General features: G+C 48.6%; 5 protein-coding genes across 10 annotated transcripts in view; all 5 read left to right on the top strand.

Annotated features, from left to right (window-relative positions):
- CT47A8 (cancer/testis antigen family 47 member A8) lies at nucleotides 1067-4389 on the top strand. Of its 2 annotated transcripts, NM_001080139.2 has the most exons (3): nucleotides 1067-2067; nucleotides 2955-3110; nucleotides 4249-4389. In NM_001080139.2, exons 1-2 carry the CDS (start codon nucleotides 1326-1328, stop codon nucleotides 3077-3079), a joined length of 867 nt encoding a protein of 288 aa, NP_001073608.1. In that variant the 5' UTR covers nucleotides 1067-1325; the 3' UTR covers nucleotides 3080-3110; nucleotides 4249-4389. The 2 variants fall into 2 exon arrangements, with proteins under 2 accessions (NP_001073608.1, XP_011529685.1); XM_011531383.3 differs by lacking the exons at nucleotides 2955-3110; nucleotides 4249-4389 and adding an exon at nucleotides 2322-2771.
- CT47A9 (cancer/testis antigen family 47 member A9) lies at nucleotides 5928-9250 on the top strand. 2 transcript variants are annotated; one of them, NM_001080138.2, is made up of 3 exons: nucleotides 5928-6928; nucleotides 7816-7971; nucleotides 9110-9250. In NM_001080138.2, the coding sequence occupies exons 1-2, from the start codon at nucleotides 6187-6189 to the stop codon at nucleotides 7938-7940; spliced, it is 867 nt and encodes a 288-aa protein (NP_001073607.1). In that variant the 5' UTR covers nucleotides 5928-6186; the 3' UTR covers nucleotides 7941-7971; nucleotides 9110-9250. The 2 variants fall into 2 exon arrangements, with proteins under 2 accessions (NP_001073607.1, XP_011529684.1); XM_011531382.3 differs by lacking the exons at nucleotides 7816-7971; nucleotides 9110-9250 and adding an exon at nucleotides 7183-7632.
- On the top strand, nucleotides 10788-14110 carry CT47A10 (cancer/testis antigen family 47 member A10). Of its 2 annotated transcripts, NM_001080137.2 has the most exons (3): nucleotides 10788-11788; nucleotides 12676-12831; nucleotides 13970-14110. In NM_001080137.2, exons 1-2 carry the CDS (start codon nucleotides 11047-11049, stop codon nucleotides 12798-12800), a joined length of 867 nt encoding a protein of 288 aa, NP_001073606.1. In that variant the 5' UTR covers nucleotides 10788-11046; the 3' UTR covers nucleotides 12801-12831; nucleotides 13970-14110. The 2 variants fall into 2 exon arrangements, with proteins under 2 accessions (NP_001073606.1, XP_011529683.1); XM_011531381.3 differs by lacking the exons at nucleotides 12676-12831; nucleotides 13970-14110 and adding an exon at nucleotides 12043-12492.
- On the top strand, nucleotides 15653-18971 carry CT47A11 (cancer/testis antigen family 47 member A11). Of its 2 annotated transcripts, NM_173571.2 has the most exons (3): nucleotides 15653-16649; nucleotides 17537-17692; nucleotides 18831-18971. In NM_173571.2, the coding sequence occupies exons 1-2, from the start codon at nucleotides 15908-15910 to the stop codon at nucleotides 17659-17661; spliced, it is 867 nt and encodes a 288-aa protein (NP_775842.2). In that variant the 5' UTR covers nucleotides 15653-15907; the 3' UTR covers nucleotides 17662-17692; nucleotides 18831-18971. The 2 variants fall into 2 exon arrangements, with proteins under 2 accessions (NP_775842.2, XP_011529621.1); XM_011531319.3 differs by lacking the exons at nucleotides 17537-17692; nucleotides 18831-18971 and adding an exon at nucleotides 16904-17353.
- The window catches only part of CT47A12 (cancer/testis antigen family 47 member A12), a 54812-nt gene continuing 51892 nt past the window's right edge, over nucleotides 20510-23429 (top strand). Inside the window, exons 1-2 of one of the 2 annotated variants that reach the window (NM_001242922.2) lie at nucleotides 20510-21510; nucleotides 22398-22553. In NM_001242922.2, coding sequence (NP_001229851.1) covers nucleotides 20769-21510; nucleotides 22398-22522 — 867 coding nt within the window. In that variant the 5' untranslated portion in view covers nucleotides 20510-20768 and the 3' untranslated portion in view covers nucleotides 22523-22553. Of the gene's footprint in view, nucleotides 21511-21764; nucleotides 22215-22397; nucleotides 22554-23429 lie in introns of those variants that run through there. The other variant, XM_017029190.2, reaches the window with a different exon arrangement.

Genomic DNA, 23429 nt, shown 5'->3' with positions numbered 1-23429 from the left:
TTTTAGTACAGACAGGGTTTTACCATATTGGTCATGCTGGTCTCGAACTACTGACCTCAGGTGATCTGCCTGCCTCGGCCTCCCAAAGTGCGGCCTCCCAAAGTGCTGGATTACAGGCGTGAGCCACCACCCCCAGGCACTTTTGGTGTTTTTGATGCTTAGCTCTTATGAGATGACCTGGTCCTTTTAAAAAAAGTATCTCTTTTTTTCCCCATTATTTGGAGGTTTGAAGTGAATTTGGCAGGATTCATTAAACACCTTCCAGTGTCTGTCATTTACCACCTCAACACTCAGTGATGACTGCATCCATTTCAACTCCGCACATTCTTTTCTAAGTAGCTTTAACTACGTTAACTCAGTGAAATTCTTATGTCTCTTGGGAGGTTTTCACTACTGCTTAGCTATGAACTATATAACATTTTTATGACACTATCTCTACTGGCATGAGCCATTACTAGGTGGAAATAAGTGAACTCTGTGACCGCCTTGCAGTTCCCATGCTCCAGGGTGCCTCCACATGGGACTACTATAGTGTTGCTAATAATCATAAAATTAAAAGGGCAGGACTTGTGTGGACCTAAAGGGGTAGCCTTGGACACTAAGGCCTCATAGAAAAGGTAGAGCTCGGCCTGGCACGGTGGCTCATGCCTGTAATCCAAGCACTTTGGGAGGCTGAGGCAGGTGGATCACAAGGTCAGGAGATCGAGACCATCCTGGCCAACATGGTGAAACCCTGTCTCTACTAAAAATACAAAACCTAGCCAGGCGTGGTGGCATGTACCTGTAGTCCCAGCTACTCAGGAGGCTGAGGCAGGAGAATCACTGGAACCCAGGAGGCGGGGATTGCAGTGAGCCGAGATCTTGCCACTGCACTCCAGCCTGGGCAACAGAGCAACACTATGAAAAGAAAAGAAAAAGCTCTGGATTCTGGATTCTCAGTTCTAGAGCTTAAGGGCCTTGATCATTCATTGGACATAGAACATGTCAATCTGAAGTTTTCAGCAAATGAGCTTAGGGCTCACTGAGAGCCCCTCGTTGACCCTTCCGGTCCCGCCCCCTTTCGCCTGCCAACCAGAATCTTTCCCAACTTGTCTAAGTCCTCTCAGGCCAGCCTTGGTGGGAGGTTTCTAGGATTCGCTCCCTGCCCTTCCCATCTTAGGGTGTCGTCTGAGACAGACTCTTATTCCCTCAATAAAGAGAGAGACTCTTATTCCCTCAGCGGCCAGCTCCTCGCCTCCCCTCGGCCGTAGCCACCTCAGTGGTCACCGTCTTCACCGTGGTCGCCTCAGCCCGCTCGCCACCCCAGTTGAGGCGCTGCTGGTGTCATGTCTGCCACAGGGGACCGACACCCGACCCAAGGGGACCAGGAGGCCCCGGTAAGCCAGGAGGGAGCACAGGCCGAGGCGGCCGGAGCTGGTAACCAGGAGGGCGGCGACTCCGGCCCCGACAGCAGCGACGTGGTGCCTGCGGCCGAGGTGGTCGGAGTCGCAGGGCCCGTGGAAGGCCTCGGGGAGGAGGAGGGTGAGCAGGCGGCAGGCCTGGCCGCAGTCCCCCGGGGCGGGAGCGCCGAGGAGGACTCAGATATCGGGCCCGCGACGGAGGAAGAGGAGGAGGAAGAGGGGAACGAGGCGGCCAACTTCGACTTGGCGGTGGTCGCCCGTCGCTACCCGGCGTCGGGCATTCACTTCGTGCTCCTGGACATGGTCCACTCCCTTCTCCACCGCCTCTCTCACAACGACCACATCCTCATAGAGAACCGTCAACTCAGCCGCCTGATGGTGGGGCCACACGCTGCTGCGCGCAACCTCTGGGGCAACCTCCCCCCGCTGCTGCTGCCCCAGAGGCTGGGTGCAGGGGCCGCAGCCCGGGCGGGCGAGGGCCTGGGCCTGATCCAGGAGGCCGCATCGGTCCCAGAGCCTGCAGTGCCAGCTGACCTGGCCGAGATGGCCAGGGAGCCCGCGGAGGAGGCCGCAGAGGAGAAGCTCTCAGAGGAGGCCACAGAGGAACCAGACGCAGAGGAACCGGCCACAGAAGAACCGACCGCACAGGAGGCCACGGCCCCAGAGGGTAAGGAACGGGCTAGCGGCAGCAGCGGGGAGGCGGGGACCCGTGTGTCCCAGGGTTCTAGGCAGGGCCGCGGTGCGGGCATAGCTGGTGAAGCGGGTGGTGAAGGGGGGTCGGGGCCTCGGGTGGTGAAGCAGGAGTCGGGGCCCTCCTGAAACTTAAGGCAGAATGTGTCCCAATGAGTCGAAGCCCAATTCTCTAACGACATCTGTGGTTTTGAGAAAACTTGTCGCCCTCTACCAACCTATATTTGATAGGAGATCTGAGATCATCGGTGCCATTTGTGAGCCCGCAGATGAATGGCCGGGTAGATAGGGGTTCAGGAGGGAGCTCCGCAGGAAACAGAAGGGATGCGCCAAGGAAAAGAACAGGCAAATGGCAGGCATCCCTTTTAGTTCATGGCTTTTCAAAGTGTAAAGATTCGTAGAAAGTTGATCCCCCAAATGATGAAGTGATGCAGGAGCACTTGGTAAAAATGAAGCATTCGGGGGGGTGAGGAACCAATGAGCTTCACCATAGAATTTGTCTTTTGAGGTAAACAAATATTTTCCCAACAAAGTTCTGACCAAAACACCGTAGAATGAGATCGGACCCGATGATTCAGATCTCTTCTTCTCCAAAGAACTAGAAATAATCAGCCGCTTTGGGTGGGAGATTTACTGGAAAAAAGGGAAATACAGTGTCCCTGTGGAAATGATCAAGCAGCAGCAACGTGAGGGCCATGGAACTGTTGTGAAAACCAGTAGGAAGGTGCCCAGCTATTCCTTTCTTACTTAACTCTATCCTGCTTCTCCTGAGGGTGGAGTAGCTGAATGCCGCTGCTAGTTATAAATTGGGCTATATTTTCTGTGAATGTCTGGTCCCCATGTGTGTATTATTCTTCCCTAAAGAAGTCACTAAATCTCAGCCCGAAAAGTGGGATGAAGAGGCCCAAGATGCTGCAGGCGAGGAAGAGAAAGAACAAGAAAAAGAGAAGGATGCGGAAAACAAGGTGAAGAACTCCAAAGGGACCTAGACGCAGCAGAGGTGAAGCCAAGAAAATCCAGGTATCTGTGTATAGCTTTGAGAATCACTCAACTATTCCTGGCATTTACCTGTTGCAGACAGTTTTATTGAACAACAACAAAAATTCTCAGTAAGTTAAGTAAGAAAAAGTTTAAAATTAGTTTAAAAATTCAATTTAACTTACTTAAAATGTTACGAGAATATTCATGTACCTAGTAATATGAACTGCAGTGTGTTCTGAAATATACTTCTCGGCTACTCATTTGTTCATGTTGAGGTCTTTTGTCCTCTAGCTGCAAGACTACTAACAAGTGGCAGATGTATCAGACCTACTACCAGGACCAATATTTGTGTAGAAAACAGTTGCCAGACACAGCCGCTAACTTGGCTGGGCCACGCATTAGTTGGGCCTTCGTTACTTGACCACAGAAATGCAGGCTCCCGTAGTAACTAGGAGACAACTCAATGCCTTTTACAAAGTGACTACTTAAAAATAGCAAAAAGCTAAGAATTTCAAGTAGGACCACAATGAATGGTTAATACCTAGATATTTATTTGGCTATATATTTTGGTATTTTATGTCACAGTCAGATGAAAAGAATGTGTGTTTATCACTGAATTGGTAATGAAGTCTTAAGGTATATCCATCTTTGAGTGTATTTAAATGGTTAACATTTTTCTTTCTTTCTTATTTATTTATTTATTTTGCATTTTCACAGCCGTATATTTCGTAACGGCTTCTTTCCCACATGGTAGATACGGAAACCAAGGGTCTGGGAGGGTAAGGGAGTATTATTTGTGGAACCAGCACAGGCTGTTGAAGCTTGAGAGATTTATTTAAATCCCAGAATGGCCCCTCATGTAAAAACAAAAGCAACAAGCTTTTCTAGTGCTAGGCAGACAAGGTTGGTGTGATCATTTGACTGAAACCTTCAGTTCCACAAGCACCCTGATATCCAAGCTCGTGAGTTACAAAAGGAAAAGATGGGCTTCTCTACTTGTTTAAGATATAGCACACAAATGTTGCAGATATACACAGAGCTGGCCATTTTCTTCTATTTAGAAAGTCACTGGTGCTGGTTAATGTTGTACTATTGTTTATCATCTCTCATTTCATCCCACAGTTGGGAGGAAAAGAAAGAAGACTCTGTTGTTCATTGTTTTTATCTTTTTCTCCAGATGCCTGTGGGAATTGTAACACATATCATTCCAAAGTTCGTTACATCAAAAGTGATATCCAGTGACATCTAACTTTCATGGATGTATGTGACAGTGTTCAAGTTAAAAAATAAAAGTTTGTTTTAAATGAATAAACTGAAACGTGGGAAGATTTTTCAATAAGTAATCTTAACTCAAATCTCTCCTTTACGTCTTTGTTTTGGCCCACCATACCTTCATTGAAAGATATTACTTTCCGCCATTTGGTAAGACTCTTTGAAATTCTTTCACTGCAGCCAAAAATCAAGTAAAATGACAAGTTTAAAACAATTTTTGAAAAGAGAGAGATGGGGCTCATCTTTAGAGCTGTGTGTTGTGACTACTGAGCACTTGTAATACGGCTAGTCTGATTTAATATGTGATGCAAGTGTGAAAATAATATTGCATATATTACTAATTTTTTTTTTTTTTTTTTGAAACTGAGTCTCGCTCTGTCACCCAGGCTGGAGTGCAGTGGGGCCATCTTGGCTCACTGCAACCTCCACCTCCCAGGCTCCAGCAAATTTCCTGCCTCACCCTTCCGAGTAGCTGGGACTACAGGCGCGCACCACCATGTCCAGCTAATTTTTTGTATTTTTAGTACAGACAGGGTTTTACCATATTGGTCATGCTGGTCTCGAACTACTGACCTCAGGTGATCTGCCTGCCTCGGCCTCCCAAAGTGCGGCCTCCCAAAGTGCTGGATTACAGGCGTGAGCCACCACCCCCAGGCACTTTTGGTGTTTTTGATGCTTAGCTCTTATGAGATGACCTGGTCCTTTTAAAAAAAGTATCTCTTTTTTTCCCCATTATTTGGAGGTTTGAAGTGAATTTGGCAGGATTCATTAAACACCTTCCAGTGTCTGTCATTTACCACCTCAACACTCAGTGATGACTGCATCCATTTCAACTCCGCACATTCTTTTCTAAGTAGCTTTAACTACGTTAACTCAGTGAAATTCTTATGTCTCTTGGGAGGTTTTCACTACTGCTTAGCTATGAACTATATAACATTTTTATGACACTATCTCTACTGGCATGAGCCATTACTAGGTGGAAATAAGTGAACTCTGTGACCGCCTTGCAGTTCCCATGCTCCAGGGTGCCTCCACATGGGACTACTATAGTGTTGCTAATAATCATAAAATTAAAAGGGCAGGACTTGTGTGGACCTAAAGGGGTAGCCTTGGACACTAAGGCCTCATAGAAAAGGTAGAGCTCGGCCTGGCACGGTGGCTCATGCCTGTAATCCAAGCACTTTGGGAGGCTGAGGCAGGTGGATCACAAGGTCAGGAGATCGAGACCATCCTGGCCAACATGGTGAAACCCTGTCTCTACTAAAAATACAAAACCTAGCCAGGCGTGGTGGCATGTACCTGTAGTCCCAGCTACTCAGGAGGCTGAGGCAGGAGAATCACTGGAACCCAGGAGGCGGGGATTGCAGTGAGCCGAGATCTTGCCACTGCACTCCAGCCTGGGCAACAGAGCAACACTATGAAAAGAAAAGAAAAAGCTCTGGATTCTGGATTCTCAGTTCTAGAGCTTAAGGGCCTTGATCATTCATTGGACATAGAACATGTCAATCTGAAGTTTTCAGCAAATGAGCTTAGGGCTCACTGAGAGCCCCTCGTTGACCCTTCCGGTCCCGCCCCCTTTCGCCTGCCAACCAGAATCTTTCCCAACTTGTCTAAGTCCTCTCAGGCCAGCCTTGGTGGGAGGTTTCTAGGATTCGCTCCCTGCCCTTCCCATCTTAGGGTGTCGTCTGAGACAGACTCTTATTCCCTCAATAAAGAGAGAGACTCTTATTCCCTCAGCGGCCAGCTCCTCGCCTCCCCTCGGCCGTAGCCACCTCAGTGGTCACCGTCTTCACCGTGGTCGCCTCAGCCCGCTCGCCACCCCAGTTGAGGCGCTGCTGGTGTCATGTCTGCCACAGGGGACCGACACCCGACCCAAGGGGACCAGGAGGCCCCGGTAAGCCAGGAGGGAGCACAGGCCGAGGCGGCCGGAGCTGGTAACCAGGAGGGCGGCGACTCCGGCCCCGACAGCAGCGACGTGGTGCCTGCGGCCGAGGTGGTCGGAGTCGCAGGGCCCGTGGAAGGCCTCGGGGAGGAGGAGGGTGAGCAGGCGGCAGGCCTGGCCGCAGTCCCCCGGGGCGGGAGCGCCGAGGAGGACTCAGATATCGGGCCCGCGACGGAGGAAGAGGAGGAGGAAGAGGGGAACGAGGCGGCCAACTTCGACTTGGCGGTGGTCGCCCGTCGCTACCCGGCGTCGGGCATTCACTTCGTGCTCCTGGACATGGTCCACTCCCTTCTCCACCGCCTCTCTCACAACGACCACATCCTCATAGAGAACCGTCAACTCAGCCGCCTGATGGTGGGGCCACACGCTGCTGCGCGCAACCTCTGGGGCAACCTCCCCCCGCTGCTGCTGCCCCAGAGGCTGGGTGCAGGGGCCGCAGCCCGGGCGGGCGAGGGCCTGGGCCTGATCCAGGAGGCCGCATCGGTCCCAGAGCCTGCAGTGCCAGCTGACCTGGCCGAGATGGCCAGGGAGCCCGCGGAGGAGGCCGCAGAGGAGAAGCTCTCAGAGGAGGCCACAGAGGAACCAGACGCAGAGGAACCGGCCACAGAAGAACCGACCGCACAGGAGGCCACGGCCCCAGAGGGTAAGGAACGGGCTAGCGGCAGCAGCGGGGAGGCGGGGACCCGTGTGTCCCAGGGTTCTAGGCAGGGCCGCGGTGCGGGCATAGCTGGTGAAGCGGGTGGTGAAGGGGGGTCGGGGCCTCGGGTGGTGAAGCAGGAGTCGGGGCCCTCCTGAAACTTAAGGCAGAATGTGTCCCAATGAGTCGAAGCCCAATTCTCTAACGACATCTGTGGTTTTGAGAAAACTTGTCGCCCTCTACCAACCTATATTTGATAGGAGATCTGAGATCATCGGTGCCATTTGTGAGCCCGCAGATGAATGGCCGGGTAGATAGGGGTTCAGGAGGGAGCTCCGCAGGAAACAGAAGGGATGCGCCAAGGAAAAGAACAGGCAAATGGCAGGCATCCCTTTTAGTTCATGGCTTTTCAAAGTGTAAAGATTCGTAGAAAGTTGATCCCCCAAATGATGAAGTGATGCAGGAGCACTTGGTAAAAATGAAGCATTCGGGGGGGTGAGGAACCAATGAGCTTCACCATAGAATTTGTCTTTTGAGGTAAACAAATATTTTCCCAACAAAGTTCTGACCAAAACACCGTAGAATGAGATCGGACCCGATGATTCAGATCTCTTCTTCTCCAAAGAACTAGAAATAATCAGCCGCTTTGGGTGGGAGATTTACTGGAAAAAAGGGAAATACAGTGTCCCTGTGGAAATGATCAAGCAGCAGCAACGTGAGGGCCATGGAACTGTTGTGAAAACCAGTAGGAAGGTGCCCAGCTATTCCTTTCTTACTTAACTCTATCCTGCTTCTCCTGAGGGTGGAGTAGCTGAATGCCGCTGCTAGTTATAAATTGGGCTATATTTTCTGTGAATGTCTGGTCCCCATGTGTGTATTATTCTTCCCTAAAGAAGTCACTAAATCTCAGCCCGAAAAGTGGGATGAAGAGGCCCAAGATGCTGCAGGCGAGGAAGAGAAAGAACAAGAAAAAGAGAAGGATGCGGAAAACAAGGTGAAGAACTCCAAAGGGACCTAGACGCAGCAGAGGTGAAGCCAAGAAAATCCAGGTATCTGTGTATAGCTTTGAGAATCACTCAACTATTCCTGGCATTTACCTGTTGCAGACAGTTTTATTGAACAACAACAAAAATTCTCAGTAAGTTAAGTAAGAAAAAGTTTAAAATTAGTTTAAAAATTCAATTTAACTTACTTAAAATGTTACGAGAATATTCATGTACCTAGTAATATGAACTGCAGTGTGTTCTGAAATATACTTCTCGGCTACTCATTTGTTCATGTTGAGGTCTTTTGTCCTCTAGCTGCAAGACTACTAACAAGTGGCAGATGTATCAGACCTACTACCAGGACCAATATTTGTGTAGAAAACAGTTGCCAGACACAGCCGCTAACTTGGCTGGGCCACGCATTAGTTGGGCCTTCGTTACTTGACCACAGAAATGCAGGCTCCCGTAGTAACTAGGAGACAACTCAATGCCTTTTACAAAGTGACTACTTAAAAATAGCAAAAAGCTAAGAATTTCAAGTAGGACCACAATGAATGGTTAATACCTAGATATTTATTTGGCTATATATTTTGGTATTTTATGTCACAGTCAGATGAAAAGAATGTGTGTTTATCACTGAATTGGTAATGAAGTCTTAAGGTATATCCATCTTTGAGTGTATTTAAATGGTTAACATTTTTCTTTCTTTCTTATTTATTTATTTATTTTGCATTTTCACAGCCGTATATTTCGTAACGGCTTCTTTCCCACATGGTAGATACGGAAACCAAGGGTCTGGGAGGGTAAGGGAGTATTATTTGTGGAACCAGCACAGGCTGTTGAAGCTTGAGAGATTTATTTAAATCCCAGAATGGCCCCTCATGTAAAAACAAAAGCAACAAGCTTTTCTAGTGCTAGGCAGACAAGGTTGGTGTGATCATTTGACTGAAACCTTCAGTTCCACAAGCACCCTGATATCCAAGCTCGTGAGTTACAAAAGGAAAAGATGGGCTTCTCTACTTGTTTAAGATATAGCACACAAATGTTGCAGATATACACAGAGCTGGCCATTTTCTTCTATTTAGAAAGTCACTGGTGCTGGTTAATGTTGTACTATTGTTTATCATCTCTCATTTCATCCCACAGTTGGGAGGAAAAGAAAGAAGACTCTGTTGTTCATTGTTTTTATCTTTTTCTCCAGATGCCTGTGGGAATTGTAACACATATCATTCCAAAGTTCGTTACATCAAAAGTGATATCCAGTGACATCTAACTTTCATGGATGTATGTGACAGTGTTCAAGTTAAAAAATAAAAGTTTGTTTTAAATGAATAAACTGAAACGTGGGAAGATTTTTCAATAAGTAATCTTAACTCAAATCTCTCCTTTACGTCTTTGTTTTGGCCCACCATACCTTCATTGAAAGATATTACTTTCCGCCATTTGGTAAGACTCTTTGAAATTCTTTCACTGCAGCCAAAAATCAAGTAAAATGACAAGTTTAAAACAATTTTTGAAAAGAGAGAGATGGGGCTCATCTTTAGAGCTGTGTGTTGTGACTACTGAGCACTTGTAATACGGCTAGTCTGATTTAATATGTGATGCAAGTGTGAAAATAATATTGCATATATTACTAATTTTTTTTTTTTTTTTTGAAACTGAGTCTCGCTCTGTCACCCAGGCTGGAGTGCAGTGGGGCCATCTTGGCTCACTGCAACCTCCACCTCCCAGGCTCCAGCAAATTTCCTGCCTCACCCTTCCGAGTAGCTGGGACTACAGGCGCGCACCACCATGTCCAGCTAGTTTTTTGTATTTTTAGTACAGACAGGGTTTTACCATATTGGTCATGCTGGTCTCGAACTACTGACCTCAGGTGATCTGCCTGCCTCGGCCTCCCAAAGTGCGGCCTCCCAAAGTGCTGGATTACAGGCGTGAGCCACCACCCCCAGGCACTTTTGGTGTTTTTGATGCTTAGCTCTTATGAGATGACCTGGTCCTTTTAAAAAAAGTATCTCTTTTTTTCCCCATTATTTGGAGGTTTGAAGTGAATTTGGCAGGATTCATTAAACACCTTCCAGTGTCTGTCATTTACCACCTCAACACTCAGTGATGACTGCATCCATTTCAACTCCGCACATTCTTTTCTAAGTAGCTTTAACTACGTTAACTCAGTGAAATTCTTATGTCTCTTGGGAGGTTTTCACTACTGCTTAGCTATGAACTATATAACATTTTTATGACACTATCTCTACTGGCATGAGCCATTACTAGGTGGAAATAAGTGAACTCTGTGACCGCCTTGCAGTTCCCATGCTCCAGGGTGCCTCCACATGGGACTACTATAGTGTTGCTAATAATCATAAAATTAAAAGGGCAGGACTTGTGTGGACCTAAAGGGGTAGCCTTGGACACTAAGGCCTCATAGAAAAGGTAGAGCTCGGCCTGGCACGGTGGCTCATGCCTGTAATCCAAGCACTTTGGGAGGCTGAGGCAGGTGGATCACAAGGTCAGGAGATCGAGACCATCCTGGCCAACATGGTGAAACCCTGTCTCTACTAAAAATACAAAACCTAGCCAGGCGTGGTGGCATGTACCTGTAGTCCCAGCTACTCAGGAGGCTGAGGCAGGAGAATCACTGGAACCCAGGAGGCGGGGATTGCAGTGAGCCGAGATCTTGCCACTGCACTCCAGCCTGGGCAACAGAGCAACACTATGAAAAGAAAAGAAAAAGCTCTGGATTCTGGATTCTCAGTTCTAGAGCTTAAGGGCCTTGATCATTCATTGGACATAGAACATGTCAATCTGAAGTTTTCAGCAAATGAGCTTAGGGCTCACTGAGAGCCCCTCGTTGACCCTTCCGGTCCCGCCCCCTTTCGCCTGCCAACCAGAATCTTTCCCAACTTGTCTAAGTCCTCTCAGGCCAGCCTTGGTGGGAGGTTTCTAGGATTCGCTCCCTGCCCTTCCCATCTTAGGGTGTCGTCTGAGACAGACTCTTATTCCCTCAATAAAGAGAGAGACTCTTATTCCCTCAGCGGCCAGCTCCTCGCCTCCCCTCGGCCGTAGCCACCTCAGTGGTCACCGTCTTCACCGTGGTCGCCTCAGCCCGCTCGCCACCCCAGTTGAGGCGCTGCTGGTGTCATGTCTGCCACAGGGGACCGACACCCGACCCAAGGGGACCAGGAGGCCCCGGTAAGCCAGGAGGGAGCACAGGCCGAGGCGGCCGGAGCTGGTAACCAGGAGGGCGGCGACTCCGGCCCCGACAGCAGCGACGTGGTGCCTGCGGCCGAGGTGGTCGGAGTCGCAGGGCCCGTGGAAGGCCTCGGGGAGGAGGAGGGTGAGCAGGCGGCAGGCCTGGCCGCAGTCCCCCGGGGCGGGAGCGCCGAGGAGGACTCAGATATCGGGCCCGCGACGGAGGAAGAGGAGGAGGAAGAGGGGAACGAGGCGGCCAACTTCGACTTGGCGGTGGTCGCCCGTCGCTACCCGGCGTCGGGCATTCACTTCGTGCTCCTGGACATGGTCCACTCCCTTCTCCACCGCCTCTCTCACAACGACCACATCCTCATAGAGAACCGTCAACTCAGCCGCCTGATGGTGGGGCCACACGCTGCTGCGCGCAACCTCTGGGGCAACCTCCCCCCGCTGCTGCTGCCCCAGAGGCTGGGTGCAGGGGCCGCAGCCCGGGCGGGCGAGGGCCTGGGCCTGATCCAGGAGGCCGCATCGGTCCCAGAGCCTGCAGTGCCAGCTGACCTGGCCGAGATGGCCAGGGAGCCCGCGGAGGAGGCCGCAGAGGAGAAGCTCTCAGAGGAGGCCACAGAGGAACCAGACGCAGAGGAACCGGCCACAGAAGAACCGACCGCACAGGAGGCCACGGCCCCAGAGGGTAAGGAACGGGCTAGCGGCAGCAGCGGGGAGGCGGGGACCCGTGTGTCCCAGGGTTCTAGGCAGGGCCGCGGTGCGGGCATAGCTGGTGAAGCGGGTGGTGAAGGGGGGTCGGGGCCTCGGGTGGTGAAGCAGGAGTCGGGGCCCTCCTGAAACTTAAGGCAGAATGTGTCCCAATGAGTCGAAGCCCAATTCTCTAACGACATCTGTGGTTTTGAGAAAACTTGTCGCCCTCTACCAACCTATATTTGATAGGAGATCTGAGATCATCGGTGCCATTTGTGAGCCCGCAGATGAATGGCCGGGTAGATAGGGGTTCAGGAGGGAGCTCCGCAGGAAACAGAAGGGATGCGCCAAGGAAAAGAACAGGCAAATGGCAGGCATCCCTTTTAGTTCATGGCTTTTCAAAGTGTAAAGATTCGTAGAAAGTTGATCCCCCAAATGATGAAGTGATGCAGGAGCACTTGGTAAAAATGAAGCATTCGGGGGGGTGAGGAACCAATGAGCTTCACCATAGAATTTGTCTTTTGAGGTAAACAAATATTTTCCCAACAAAGTTCTGACCAAAACACCGTAGAATGAGATCGGACCCGATGATTCAGATCTCTTCTTCTCCAAAGAACTAGAAATAATCAGCCGCTTTGGGTGGGAGATTTACTGGAAAAAAGGGAAATACAGTGTCCCTGTGGAAATGATCAAGCAGCAGCAACGTGAGGGCCATGGAACTGTTGTGAAAACCAGTAGGAAGGTGCCCAGCTATTCCTTTCTTACTTAACTCTATCCTGCTTCTCCTGAGGGTGGAGTAGCTGAATGCCGCTGCTAGTTATAAATTGGGCTATATTTTCTGTGAATGTCTGGTCCCCATGTGTGTATTATTCTTCCCTAAAGAAGTCACTAAATCTCAGCCCGAAAAGTGGGATGAAGAGGCCCAAGATGCTGCAGGCGAGGAAGAGAAAGAACAAGAAAAAGAGAAGGATGCGGAAAACAAGGTGAAGAACTCCAAAGGGACCTAGACGCAGCAGAGGTGAAGCCAAGAAAATCCAGGTATCTGTGTATAGCTTTGAGAATCACTCAACTATTCCTGGCATTTACCTGTTGCAGACAGTTTTATTGAACAACAACAAAAATTCTCAGTAAGTTAAGTAAGAAAAAGTTTAAAATTAGTTTAAAAATTCAATTTAACTTACTTAAAATGTTACGAGAATATTCATGTACCTAGTAATATGAACTGCAGTGTGTTCTGAAATATACTTCTCGGCTACTCATTTGTTCATGTTGAGGTCTTTTGTCCTCTAGCTGCAAGACTACTAACAAGTGGCAGATGTATCAGACCTACTACCAGGACCAATATTTGTGTAGAAAACAGTTGCCAGACACAGCCGCTAACTTGGCTGGGCCACGCATTAGTTGGGCCTTCGTTACTTGACCACAGAAATGCAGGCTCCCGTAGTAACTAGGAGACAACTCAATGCCTTTTACAAAGTGACTACTTAAAAATAGCAAAAAGCTAAGAATTTCAAGTAGGACCACAATGAATGGTTAATACCTAGATATTTATTTGGCTATATATTTTGGTATTTTATGTCACAGTCAGATGAAAAGAATGTGTGTTTATCACTGAATTGGTAATGAAGTCTTAAGGTATATCCATCTTTGAGTGTATTTAAATGGTTAACATTTTTCTTTCTTTCTTATTTATTTATTTATTTTGCATTTTCACAGCCGTATATTTCGTAACGGCTTCTTTCCCACATGGTAGATACGGAAACCAAGGGTCTGGGAGGGTAAGGGAGTATTATTTGTGGAACCAGCACAGGCTGTTGAAGCTTGAGAGATTTATTTAAATCCCAGAATGGCCCCTCATGTAAAAACAAAAGCAACAAGCTTTTCTAGTGCTAGGCAGACAAGGTTGGTGTGATCATTTGACTGAAACCTTCAGTTCCACAAGCACCCTGATATCCAAGCTCGTGAGTTACAAAAGGAAAAGATGGGCTTCTCTACTTGTTTAAGATATAGCACACAAATGTTGCAGATATACACAGAGCTGGCCATTTTCTTCTATTTAGAAAGTCACTGGTGCTGGTTAATGTTGTACTATTGTTTATCATCTCTCATTTCATCCCACAGTTGGGAGGAAAAGAAAGAAGACTCTGTTGTTCATTGTTTTTATCTTTTTCTCCAGATGCCTGTGGGAATTGTAACACATATCATTCCAAAGTTCGTTACATCAAAAGTGATATCCAGTGACATCTAACTTTCATGGATGTATGTGACAGTGTTCAAGTTAAAAAATAAAAGTTTGTTTTAAATGAATAAACTGAAACGTGGGAAGATTTTTCAATAAGTAATCTTAACTCAAATCTCTCCTTTACGTCTTTGTTTTGGCCCACCATACCTTCATTGAAAGATATTACTTTCCGCCATTTGGTAAGACTCTTTGAAATTCTTTCACTGCAGCCAAAAATCAAGTAAAATGACAAGTTTAAAACAATTTTTGAAAAGAGAGAGATGGGGCTCATCTTTAGAGCTGTGTGTTGTGACTACTGAGCACTTGTAATACGGCTAGTCTGATTTAATATGTGATGCAAGTGTGAAAATAATATTGCATATATTACTAATTTTTTTTTTTTTTTTTTGAAACTGAGTCTCGCTCTGTCACCCAGGCTGGAGTGCAGTGGGGCCATCTTGGCTCACTGCAACCTCCACCTCCCAGGCTCCAGCAAATTTCCTGCCTCACCCTTCCGAGTAGCTGGGACTACAGGCGCGCACCACCATGTCCAGCTAATTTTTTGTATTTTTAGTACAGACAGGGTTTTACCATATTGGTCATGCTGGTCTCGAACTACTGACCTCAGGTGATCTGCCTGCCTCGGCCTCCCAAAGTGCGGCCTCCCAAAGTGCTGGATTACAGGCGTGAGCCACCACCCCCAGGCACTTTTGGTGTTTTTGATGCTTAGCTCTTATGAGATGACCTGGTCCTTTTAAAAAAAGTATCTCTTTTTTTCCCCATTATTTGGAGGTTTGAAGTGAATTTGGCAGGATTCATTAAACACCTTCCAGTGTCTGTCATTTACCACCTCAACACTCAGTGATGACTGCATCCATTTCAACTCCGCACATTCTTTTCTAAGTAGCTTTAACTACGTTAACTCAGTGAAATTCTTATGTCTCTTGGGAGGTTTTCACTACTGCTTAGCTATGAACTATATAACATTTTTATGACACTATCTCTACTGGCATGAGCCATTACTAGGTGGAAATAAGTGAACTCTGTGACCGCCTTGCAGTTCCCATGCTCCAGGGTGCCTCCACATGGGACTACTATAGTGTTGCTAATAATCATAAAATTAAAAGGGCAGGACTTGTGTGGACCTAAAGGGGTAGCCTTGGACACTAAGGCCTCATAGAAAAGGTAGAGCTCGGCCTGGCACGGTGGCTCATGCCTGTAATCCAAGCACTTTGGGAGGCTGAGGCAGGTGGATCACAAGGTCAGGAGATCGAGACCATCCTGGCCAACATGGTGAAACCCTGTCTCTACTAAAAATACAAAACCTAGCCAGGCGTGGTGGCATGTACCTGTAGTCCCAGCTACTCAGGAGGCTGAGGCAGGAGAATCACTGGAACCCAGGAGGCGGGGATTGCAGTGAGCCGAGATCTTGCCACTGCACTCCAGCCTGGGCAACAGAGCAACACTATGAAAAGAAAAGAAAAAGCTCTGGATTCTGGATTCTCAGTTCTAGAGCTTAAGGGCCTTGATCATTCATTGGACATAGAACATGTCAATCTGAAGTTTTCAGCAAATGAGCTTAGGGCTCACTGAGAGCCCCTCGTTGACCCTTCCGGTCCCGCCCCCTTTCGCCTGCCAACCAGAATCTTTCCCAACTTGTCTAAGTCCTCTCAGGCCAGCCTTGGTGGGAGGTTTCTAGGATTCGCTCCCTGCCCTTCCCATCTTAGGGTGTCGTCTGAGACAGACTCTTATTCCCTCAATAAAGAGAGAGACTCTTATTCCCTCAGCGGCCAGCTCCTCGCCTCCCCTCGGCCGTAGCCACCTCAGTGGTCACCGTCTTCACCGTGGTCGCCTCAGCCCGCTCGCCACCCCAGTTGAGGCGCTGCTGGTGTCATGTCTGCCACAGGGGACCGACACCCGACCCAAGGGGACCAGGAGGCCCCGGTAAGCCAGGAGGGAGCACAGGCCGAGGCGGCCGGAGCTGGTAACCAGGAGGGCGGCGACTCCGGCCCCGACAGCAGCGACGTGGTGCCTGCGGCCGAGGTGGTCGGAGTCGCAGGGCCCGTGGAAGGCCTCGGGGAGGAGGAGGGTGAGCAGGCGGCAGGCCTGGCCGCAGTCCCCCGGGGCGGGAGCGCCGAGGAGGACTCAGATATCGGGCCCGCGACGGAGGAAGAGGAGGAGGAAGAGGGGAACGAGGCGGCCAACTTCGACTTGGCGGTGGTCGCCCGTCGCTACCCGGCGTCGGGCATTCACTTCGTGCTCCTGGACATGGTCCACTCCCTTCTCCACCGCCTCTCTCACAACGACCACATCCTCATAGAGAACCGTCAACTCAGCCGCCTGATGGTGGGGCCACACGCTGCTGCGCGCAACCTCTGGGGCAACCTCCCCCCGCTGCTGCTGCCCCAGAGGCTGGGTGCAGGGGCCGCAGCCCGGGCGGGCGAGGGCCTGGGCCTGATCCAGGAGGCCGCATCGGTCCCAGAGCCTGCAGTGCCAGCTGACCTGGCCGAGATGGCCAGGGAGCCCGCGGAGGAGGCCGCAGAGGAGAAGCTCTCAGAGGAGGCCACAGAGGAACCAGACGCAGAGGAACCGGCCACAGAAGAACCGACCGCACAGGAGGCCACGGCCCCAGAGGGTAAGGAACGGGCTAGCGGCAGCAGCGGGGAGGCGGGGACCCGTGTGTCCCAGGGTTCTAGGCAGGGCCGCGGTGCGGGCATAGCTGGTGAAGCGGGTGGTGAAGGGGGGTCGGGGCCTCGGGTGGTGAAGCAGGAGTCGGGGCCCTCCTGAAACTTAAGGCAGAATGTGTCCCAATGAGTCGAAGCCCAATTCTCTAACGACATCTGTGGTTTTGAGAAAACTTGTCGCCCTCTACCAACCTATATTTGATAGGAGATCTGAGATCATCGGTGCCATTTGTGAGCCCGCAGATGAATGGCCGGGTAGATAGGGGTTCAGGAGGGAGCTCCGCAGGAAACAGAAGGGATGCGCCAAGGAAAAGAACAGGCAAATGGCAGGCATCCCTTTTAGTTCATGGCTTTTCAAAGTGTAAAGATTCGTAGAAAGTTGATCCCCCAAATGATGAAGTGATGCAGGAGCACTTGGTAAAAATGAAGCATTCGGGGGGGTGAGGAACCAATGAGCTTCACCATAGAATTTGTCTTTTGAGGTAAACAAATATTTTCCCAACAAAGTTCTGACCAAAACACCGTAGAATGAGATCGGACCCGATGATTCAGATCTCTTCTTCTCCAAAGAACTAGAAATAATCAGCCGCTTTGGGTGGGAGATTTACTGGAAAAAAGGGAAATACAGTGTCCCTGTGGAAATGATCAAGCAGCAGCAACGTGAGGGCCATGGAACTGTTGTGAAAACCAGTAGGAAGGTGCCCAGCTATTCCTTTCTTACTTAACTCTATCCTGCTTCTCCTGAGGGTGGAGTAGCTGAATGCCGCTGCTAGTTATAAATTGGGCTATATTTTCTGTGAATGTCTGGTCCCCATGCGTGTATTATTCTTCCCTAAAGAAGTCACTAAATCTCAGCCCGAAAAGTGGGATGAAGAGGCCCAAGATGCTGCAGGCGAGGAAGAGAAAGAACAAGAAAAAGAGAAGGATGCGGAAAACAAGGTGAAGAACTCCAAAGGGACCTAGACGCAGCAGAGGTGAAGCCAAGAAAATCCAGGTATCTGTGTATAGCTTTGAGAATCACTCAACTATTCCTGGCATTTACCTGTTGCAGACAGTTTTATTGAACAACAACAAAAATTCTCAGTAAGTTAAGTAAGAAAAAGTTTAAAATTAGTTTAAAAATTCAATTTAACTTACTTAAAATGTTACGAGAATATTCATGTACCTAGTAATATGAACTGCAGTGTGTTCTGAAATATACTTCTTGGCTACTCATTTGTTCATGTTGAGGTCTTTTGTCCTCTAGCTGCAAGACTACTAACAAGTGGCAGATGTATCAGACCTACTACCAGGACCAATATTTGTGTAGAAAACAGTTGCCAGACACAGCCGCTAACTTGGCTGGGCCACGCATTAGTTGGGCCTTCGTTACTTGACCACAGAAATGCAGGCTCCCGTAGTAACTAGGAGACAACTCAATGCCTTTTACAAAGTGACTACTTAAAAATAGCAAAAAGCTAAGAATTTCAAGTAGGACCACAATGAATGGTTAATACCTAGATATTTATTTGGCTATATATTTTGGTATTTTATGTCACAGTCAGATGAAAAGAATGTGTGTTTATCACTGAATTGGTAATGAAGTCTTAAGGTATATCCATCTTTGAGTGTATTTAAATGGTTAACATTTTTCTTTCTTTCTTATTTATTTATTTATTTTGCATTTTCACAGCCGTATATTTCGTAACGGCTTCTTTCCCACATGGTAGATACGGAAACCAAGGGTCTGGGAGGGTAAGGGAGTATTATTTGTGGAACCAGCACAGGCTGTTGAAGCTTGAGAGATTTATTTAAATCCCAGAATGGCCCCTCATGTAAAAACAAAAGCAACAAGCTTTTCTAGTGCTAGGCAGACAAGGTTGGTGTGATCATTTGACTGAAACCTTCAGTTCCACAAGCACCCTGATATCCAAGCTCGTGAGTTACAAAAGGAAAAGATGGGCTTCTCTACTTGTTTAAGATATAGCACACAAATGTTGCAGATATACACAGAGCTGGCCATTTTCTTCTATTTAGAAAGTCACTGGTGCTGGTTAATGTTGTACTATTGTTTATCATCTCTCATTTCATCCCACAGTTGGGAGGAAAAGAAAGAAGACTCTGTTGTTCATTGTTTTTATCTTTTTCTCCAGATGCCTGTGGGAATTGTAACACATATCATTCCAAAGTTCGTTACATCAAAAGTGATATCCAGTGACATCTAACTTTCATGGATGTATGTGACAGTGTTCAAGTTAAAAAATAAAAGTTTGTTTTAAATGAATAAACTGAAACGTGGGAAGATTTTTCAATAAGTAATCTTAACTCAAATCTCTCCTTTACGTCTTTGTTTTGGCCCACCATACCTTCATTGAAAGATATTACTTTCCGCCATTTGGTAAGACTCTTTGAAATTCTTTCACTGCAGCCAAAAATCAAGTAAAATGACAAGTTTAAAACAATTTTTGAAAAGAGAGAGATGGGGCTCATCTTTAGAGCTGTGTGTTGTGACTACTGAGCACTTGTAATACGGCTAGTCTGATTTAATATGTGATGCAAGTGTGAAAATAATATTGCATATATTACTAATTTTTTTTTTTTTTTTTTGAAACTGAGTCTCGCTCTGTCACCCAGGCTGGAGTGCAGTGGGGCCATCTTGGCTCACTGCAACCTCCACCTCCCAGGCTCCAGCAAATTTCCTGCCTCACCCTTCCGAGTAGCTGGGACTACAGGCGCGCACCACCATGTCCAGCTAATTTTTTGTATTTTTAGTACAGACAGGGTTTTACCATATTGGTCATGCTGGTCTCGAACTACTGACCTCAGGTGATCTGCCTGCCTCGGCCTCCCAAAGTGCGGCCTCCCAAAGTGCTGGATTACAGGCGTGAGCCACCACCCCCAGGCACTTTTGGTGTTTTTGATGCTTAGCTCTTATGAGATGACCTGGTCCTTTTAAAAAAAGTATCTCTTTTTTTCCCCATTATTTGGAGGTTTGAAGTGAATTTGGCAGGATTCATTAAACACCTTCCAGTGTCTGTCATTTACCACCTCAACACTCAGTGATGACTGCATCCATTTCAACTCTGCACATTCTTTTCTAAGTAGCTTTAACTACGTTAACTCAGTGAAATTCTTATGTCTCTTGGGAGGTTTTCACTACTGCTTAGCTATGAACTATATAACATTTTTATGACACTATCTCTACTGGCATGAGCCATTACTAGGTGGAAATAAGTGAACTCTGTGACCGCCTTGCAGTTCCCATGCTCCAGGGTGCCTCCACATGGGACTACTATAGTGTTGCTAATAATCATAAAATTAAAAGGGCAGGACTTGTGTGGACCTAAAGGGGTAGCCTTGGACACTAAGGCCTCATAGAAAAGGTAGAGCTCGGCCTGGCACGGTGGCTCATGCCTGTAATCCAAGCACTTTGGGAGGCTGAGGCAGGTGGATCACAAGGTCAGGAGATCGAGACCATCCTGGCCAACATGGTGAAACCCTGTCTCTACTAAAAATACAAAACCTAGCCAGGCGTGGTGGCATGTACCTGTAGTCCCAGCTACTCAGGAGGCTGAGGCAGGAGAATCACTGGAACCCAGGAGGCGGGGATTGCAGTGAGCCGAGATCTTGCCACTGCACTCCAGCCTGGGCAACAGAGCAACACTATGAAAAGAAAAGAAAAAGCTCTGGATTCTGGATTCTCAGTTCTAGAGCTTAAGGGCCTTGATCATTCATTGGACATAGAACATGTCAATCTGAAGTTTTCAGCAAATGAGCTTAGGGCTCACTGAGAGCCCCTCGTTGACCCTTCCGGTCCCGCCCCCTTTCGCCTGCCAACCAGAATCTTTCCCAACTTGTCTAAGTCCTCTCAGGCCAGCCTTGGTGGGAGGTTTCTAGGATTCGCTCCCTGCCCTTCCCATCTTAGGGTGTCGTCTGAGACAGACTCTTATTCCCTCAATAAAGAGAGAGACTCTTATTCCCTCAGCGGCCAGCTCCTCGCCTCCCCTCGGCCGTAGCCACCTCAGTGGTCACCGTCTTCACCGTGGTCGCCTCAGCCCGCTCGCCACCCCAGTTGAGGCGCTGCTGGTGTCATGTCTGCCACAGGGGACCGACACCCGACCCAAGGGGACCAGGAGGCCCCGGTAAGCCAGGAGGGAGCACAGGCCGAGGCGGCCGGAGCTGGTAACCAGGAGGGCGGCGACTCCGGCCCCGACAGCAGCGACGTGGTGCCTGCGGCCGAGGTGGTCGGAGTCGCAGGGCCCGTGGAAGGCCTCGGGGAGGAGGAGGGTGAGCAGGCGGCAGGCCTGGCCGCAGTCCCCCGGGGCGGGAGCGCCGAGGAGGACTCAGATATCGGGCCCGCGACGGAGGAAGAGGAGGAGGAAGAGGGGAACGAGGCGGCCAACTTCGACTTGGCGGTGGTCGCCCGTCGCTACCCGGCGTCGGGCATTCACTTCGTGCTCCTGGACATGGTCCACTCCCTTCTCCACCGCCTCTCTCACAACGACCACATCCTCATAGAGAACCGTCAACTCAGCCGCCTGATGGTGGGGCCACACGCTGCTGCGCGCAACCTCTGGGGCAACCTCCCCCCGCTGCTGCTGCCCCAGAGGCTGGGTGCAGGGGCCGCAGCCCGGGCGGGCGAGGGCCTGGGCCTGATCCAGGAGGCCGCATCGGTCCCAGAGCCTGCAGTGCCAGCTGACCTGGCCGAGATGGCCAGGGAGCCCGCGGAGGAGGCCGCAGAGGAGAAGCTCTCAGAGGAGGCCACAGAGGAACCAGACGCAGAGGAACCGGCCACAGAAGAACCGACCGCACAGGAGGCCACGGCCCCAGAGGGTAAGGAACGGGCTAGCGGCAGCAGCGGGGAGGCGGGGACCCGTGTGTCCCAGGGTTCTAGGCAGGGCCGCGGTGCGGGCATAGCTGGTGAAGCGGGTGGTGAAGGGGGGTCGGGGCCTCGGGTGGTGAAGCAGGAGTCGGGGCCCTCCTGAAACTTAAGGCAGAATGTGTCCCAATGAGTCGAAGCCCAATTCTCTAACGACATCTGTGGTTTTGAGAAAACTTGTCGCCCTCTACCAACCTATATTTGATAGGAGATCTGAGATCATCGGTGCCATTTGTGAGCCCGCAGATGAATGGCCGGGTAGATAGGGGTTCAGGAGGGAGCTCCGCAGGAAACAGAAGGGATGCGCCAAGGAAAAGAACAGGCAAATGGCAGGCATCCCTTTTAGTTCATGGCTTTTCAAAGTGTAAAGATTCGTAGAAAGTTGATCCCCCAAATGATGAAGTGATGCAGGAGCACTTGGTAAAAATGAAGCATTCGGGGGGGTGAGGAACCAATGAGCTTCACCATAGAATTTGTCTTTTGAGGTAAACAAATATTTTCCCAACAAAGTTCTGACCAAAACACCGTAGAATGAGATCGGACCCGATGATTCAGATCTCTTCTTCTCCAAAGAACTAGAAATAATCAGCCGCTTTGGGTGGGAGATTTACTGGAAAAAAGGGAAATACAGTGTCCCTGTGGAAATGATCAAGCAGCAGCAACGTGAGGGCCATGGAACTGTTGTGAAAACCAGTAGGAAGGTGCCCAGCTATTCCTTTCTTACTTAACTCTATCCTGCTTCTCCTGAGGGTGGAGTAGCTGAATGCCGCTGCTAGTTATAAATTGGGCTATATTTTCTGTGAATGTCTGGTCCCCATGTGTGTATTATTCTTCCCTAAAGAAGTCACTAAATCTCAGCCCGAAAAGTGGGATGAAGAGGCCCAAGATGCTGCAGGCGAGGAAGAGAAAGAACAAGAAAAAGAGAAGGATGCGGAAAACAAGGTGAAGAACTCCAAAGGGACCTAGACGCAGCAGAGGTGAAGCCAAGAAAATCCAGGTATCTGTGTATAGCTTTGAGAATCACTCAACTATTCCTGGCATTTACCTGTTGCAGACAGTTTTATTGAACAACAACAAAAATTCTCAGTAAGTTAAGTAAGAAAAAGTTTAAAATTAGTTTAAAAATTCAATTTAACTTACTTAAAATGTTACGAGAATATTCATGTACCTAGTAATATGAACTGCAGTGTGTTCTGAAATATACTTCTCGGCTACTCATTTGTTCATGTTGAGGTCTTTTGTCCTCTAGCTGCAAGACTACTAACAAGTGGCAGATGTATCAGACCTACTACCAGGACCAATATTTGTGTAGAAAACAGTTGCCAGACACAGCCGCTAACTTGGCTGGGCCACGCATTAGTTGGGCCTTCGTTACTTGACCACAGAAATGCAGGCTCCCGTAGTAACTAGGAGACAACTCAATGCCTTTTACAAAGTGACTACTTAAAAATAGCAAAAAGCTAAGAATTTCAAGTAGGACCACAATGAATGGTTAATACCTAGATATTTATTTGGCTATATATTTTGGTATTTTATGTCACAGTCAGATGAAAAGAATGTGTGTTTATCACTGAATTGGTAATGAAGTCTTAAGGTATATCCATCTTTGAGTGTATTTAAATGGTTAACATTTTTCTTTCTTTCTTATTTATTTATTTATTTTGCATTTTCACAGCCGTATATTTCGTAACGGCTTCTTTCCCACATGGTAGATACGGAAACCAAGGGTCTGGGAGGGTAAGGGAGTATTATTTGTGGAACCAGCACAGGCTGTTGAAGCTTGAGAGATTTATTTAAATCCCAGAATGGCCCCTCATGTAAAAACAAAAGCAACAAGCTTTTCTAGTGCTAGGCAGACAAGGTTGGTGTGATC

This window comes from Homo sapiens, chromosome X (assembly GCF_000001405.40).
Source record: "Homo sapiens chromosome X, GRCh38.p14 Primary Assembly".
Classification (NCBI taxonomy): Eukaryota; Metazoa; Chordata; class Mammalia; order Primates; family Hominidae; genus Homo; species Homo sapiens.
Note: the sequence above shows the minus strand (reverse complement) of the source record. Positions and strands in the feature narration are given on the sequence as shown.

What these genes read in the sequence shown, in the direction of transcription:
- CT47A11 (XM_011531319.3), top strand. Translation starts at nt 15,908, where the DNA reads ATGTCTGCCACAGGGGACCGACACCCGACCCAAGGGGACCAGGAGGCC. An exon ending in GGAGGCCACGGCCCCAGAGG is followed by an intron (nt 16,650 to 16,903) that starts GTAAGGAACGGG and finishes TATATTTGATAG; the next exon opens with GAGATCTGAGATCATCGGTG.
- CT47A8 (XM_011531383.3), top strand. Translation starts at nt 1,326, where the DNA reads ATGTCTGCCACAGGGGACCGACACCCGACCCAAGGGGACCAGGAGGCC. An exon ending in GGAGGCCACGGCCCCAGAGG is followed by an intron (nt 2,068 to 2,321) that starts GTAAGGAACGGG and finishes TATATTTGATAG; the next exon opens with GAGATCTGAGATCATCGGTG.
- CT47A10 (XM_011531381.3), top strand. Translation starts at nt 11,047, where the DNA reads ATGTCTGCCACAGGGGACCGACACCCGACCCAAGGGGACCAGGAGGCC. An exon ending in GGAGGCCACGGCCCCAGAGG is followed by an intron (nt 11,789 to 12,042) that starts GTAAGGAACGGG and finishes TATATTTGATAG; the next exon opens with GAGATCTGAGATCATCGGTG.
- CT47A9 (XM_011531382.3), top strand. Translation starts at nt 6,187, where the DNA reads ATGTCTGCCACAGGGGACCGACACCCGACCCAAGGGGACCAGGAGGCC. An exon ending in GGAGGCCACGGCCCCAGAGG is followed by an intron (nt 6,929 to 7,182) that starts GTAAGGAACGGG and finishes TATATTTGATAG; the next exon opens with GAGATCTGAGATCATCGGTG.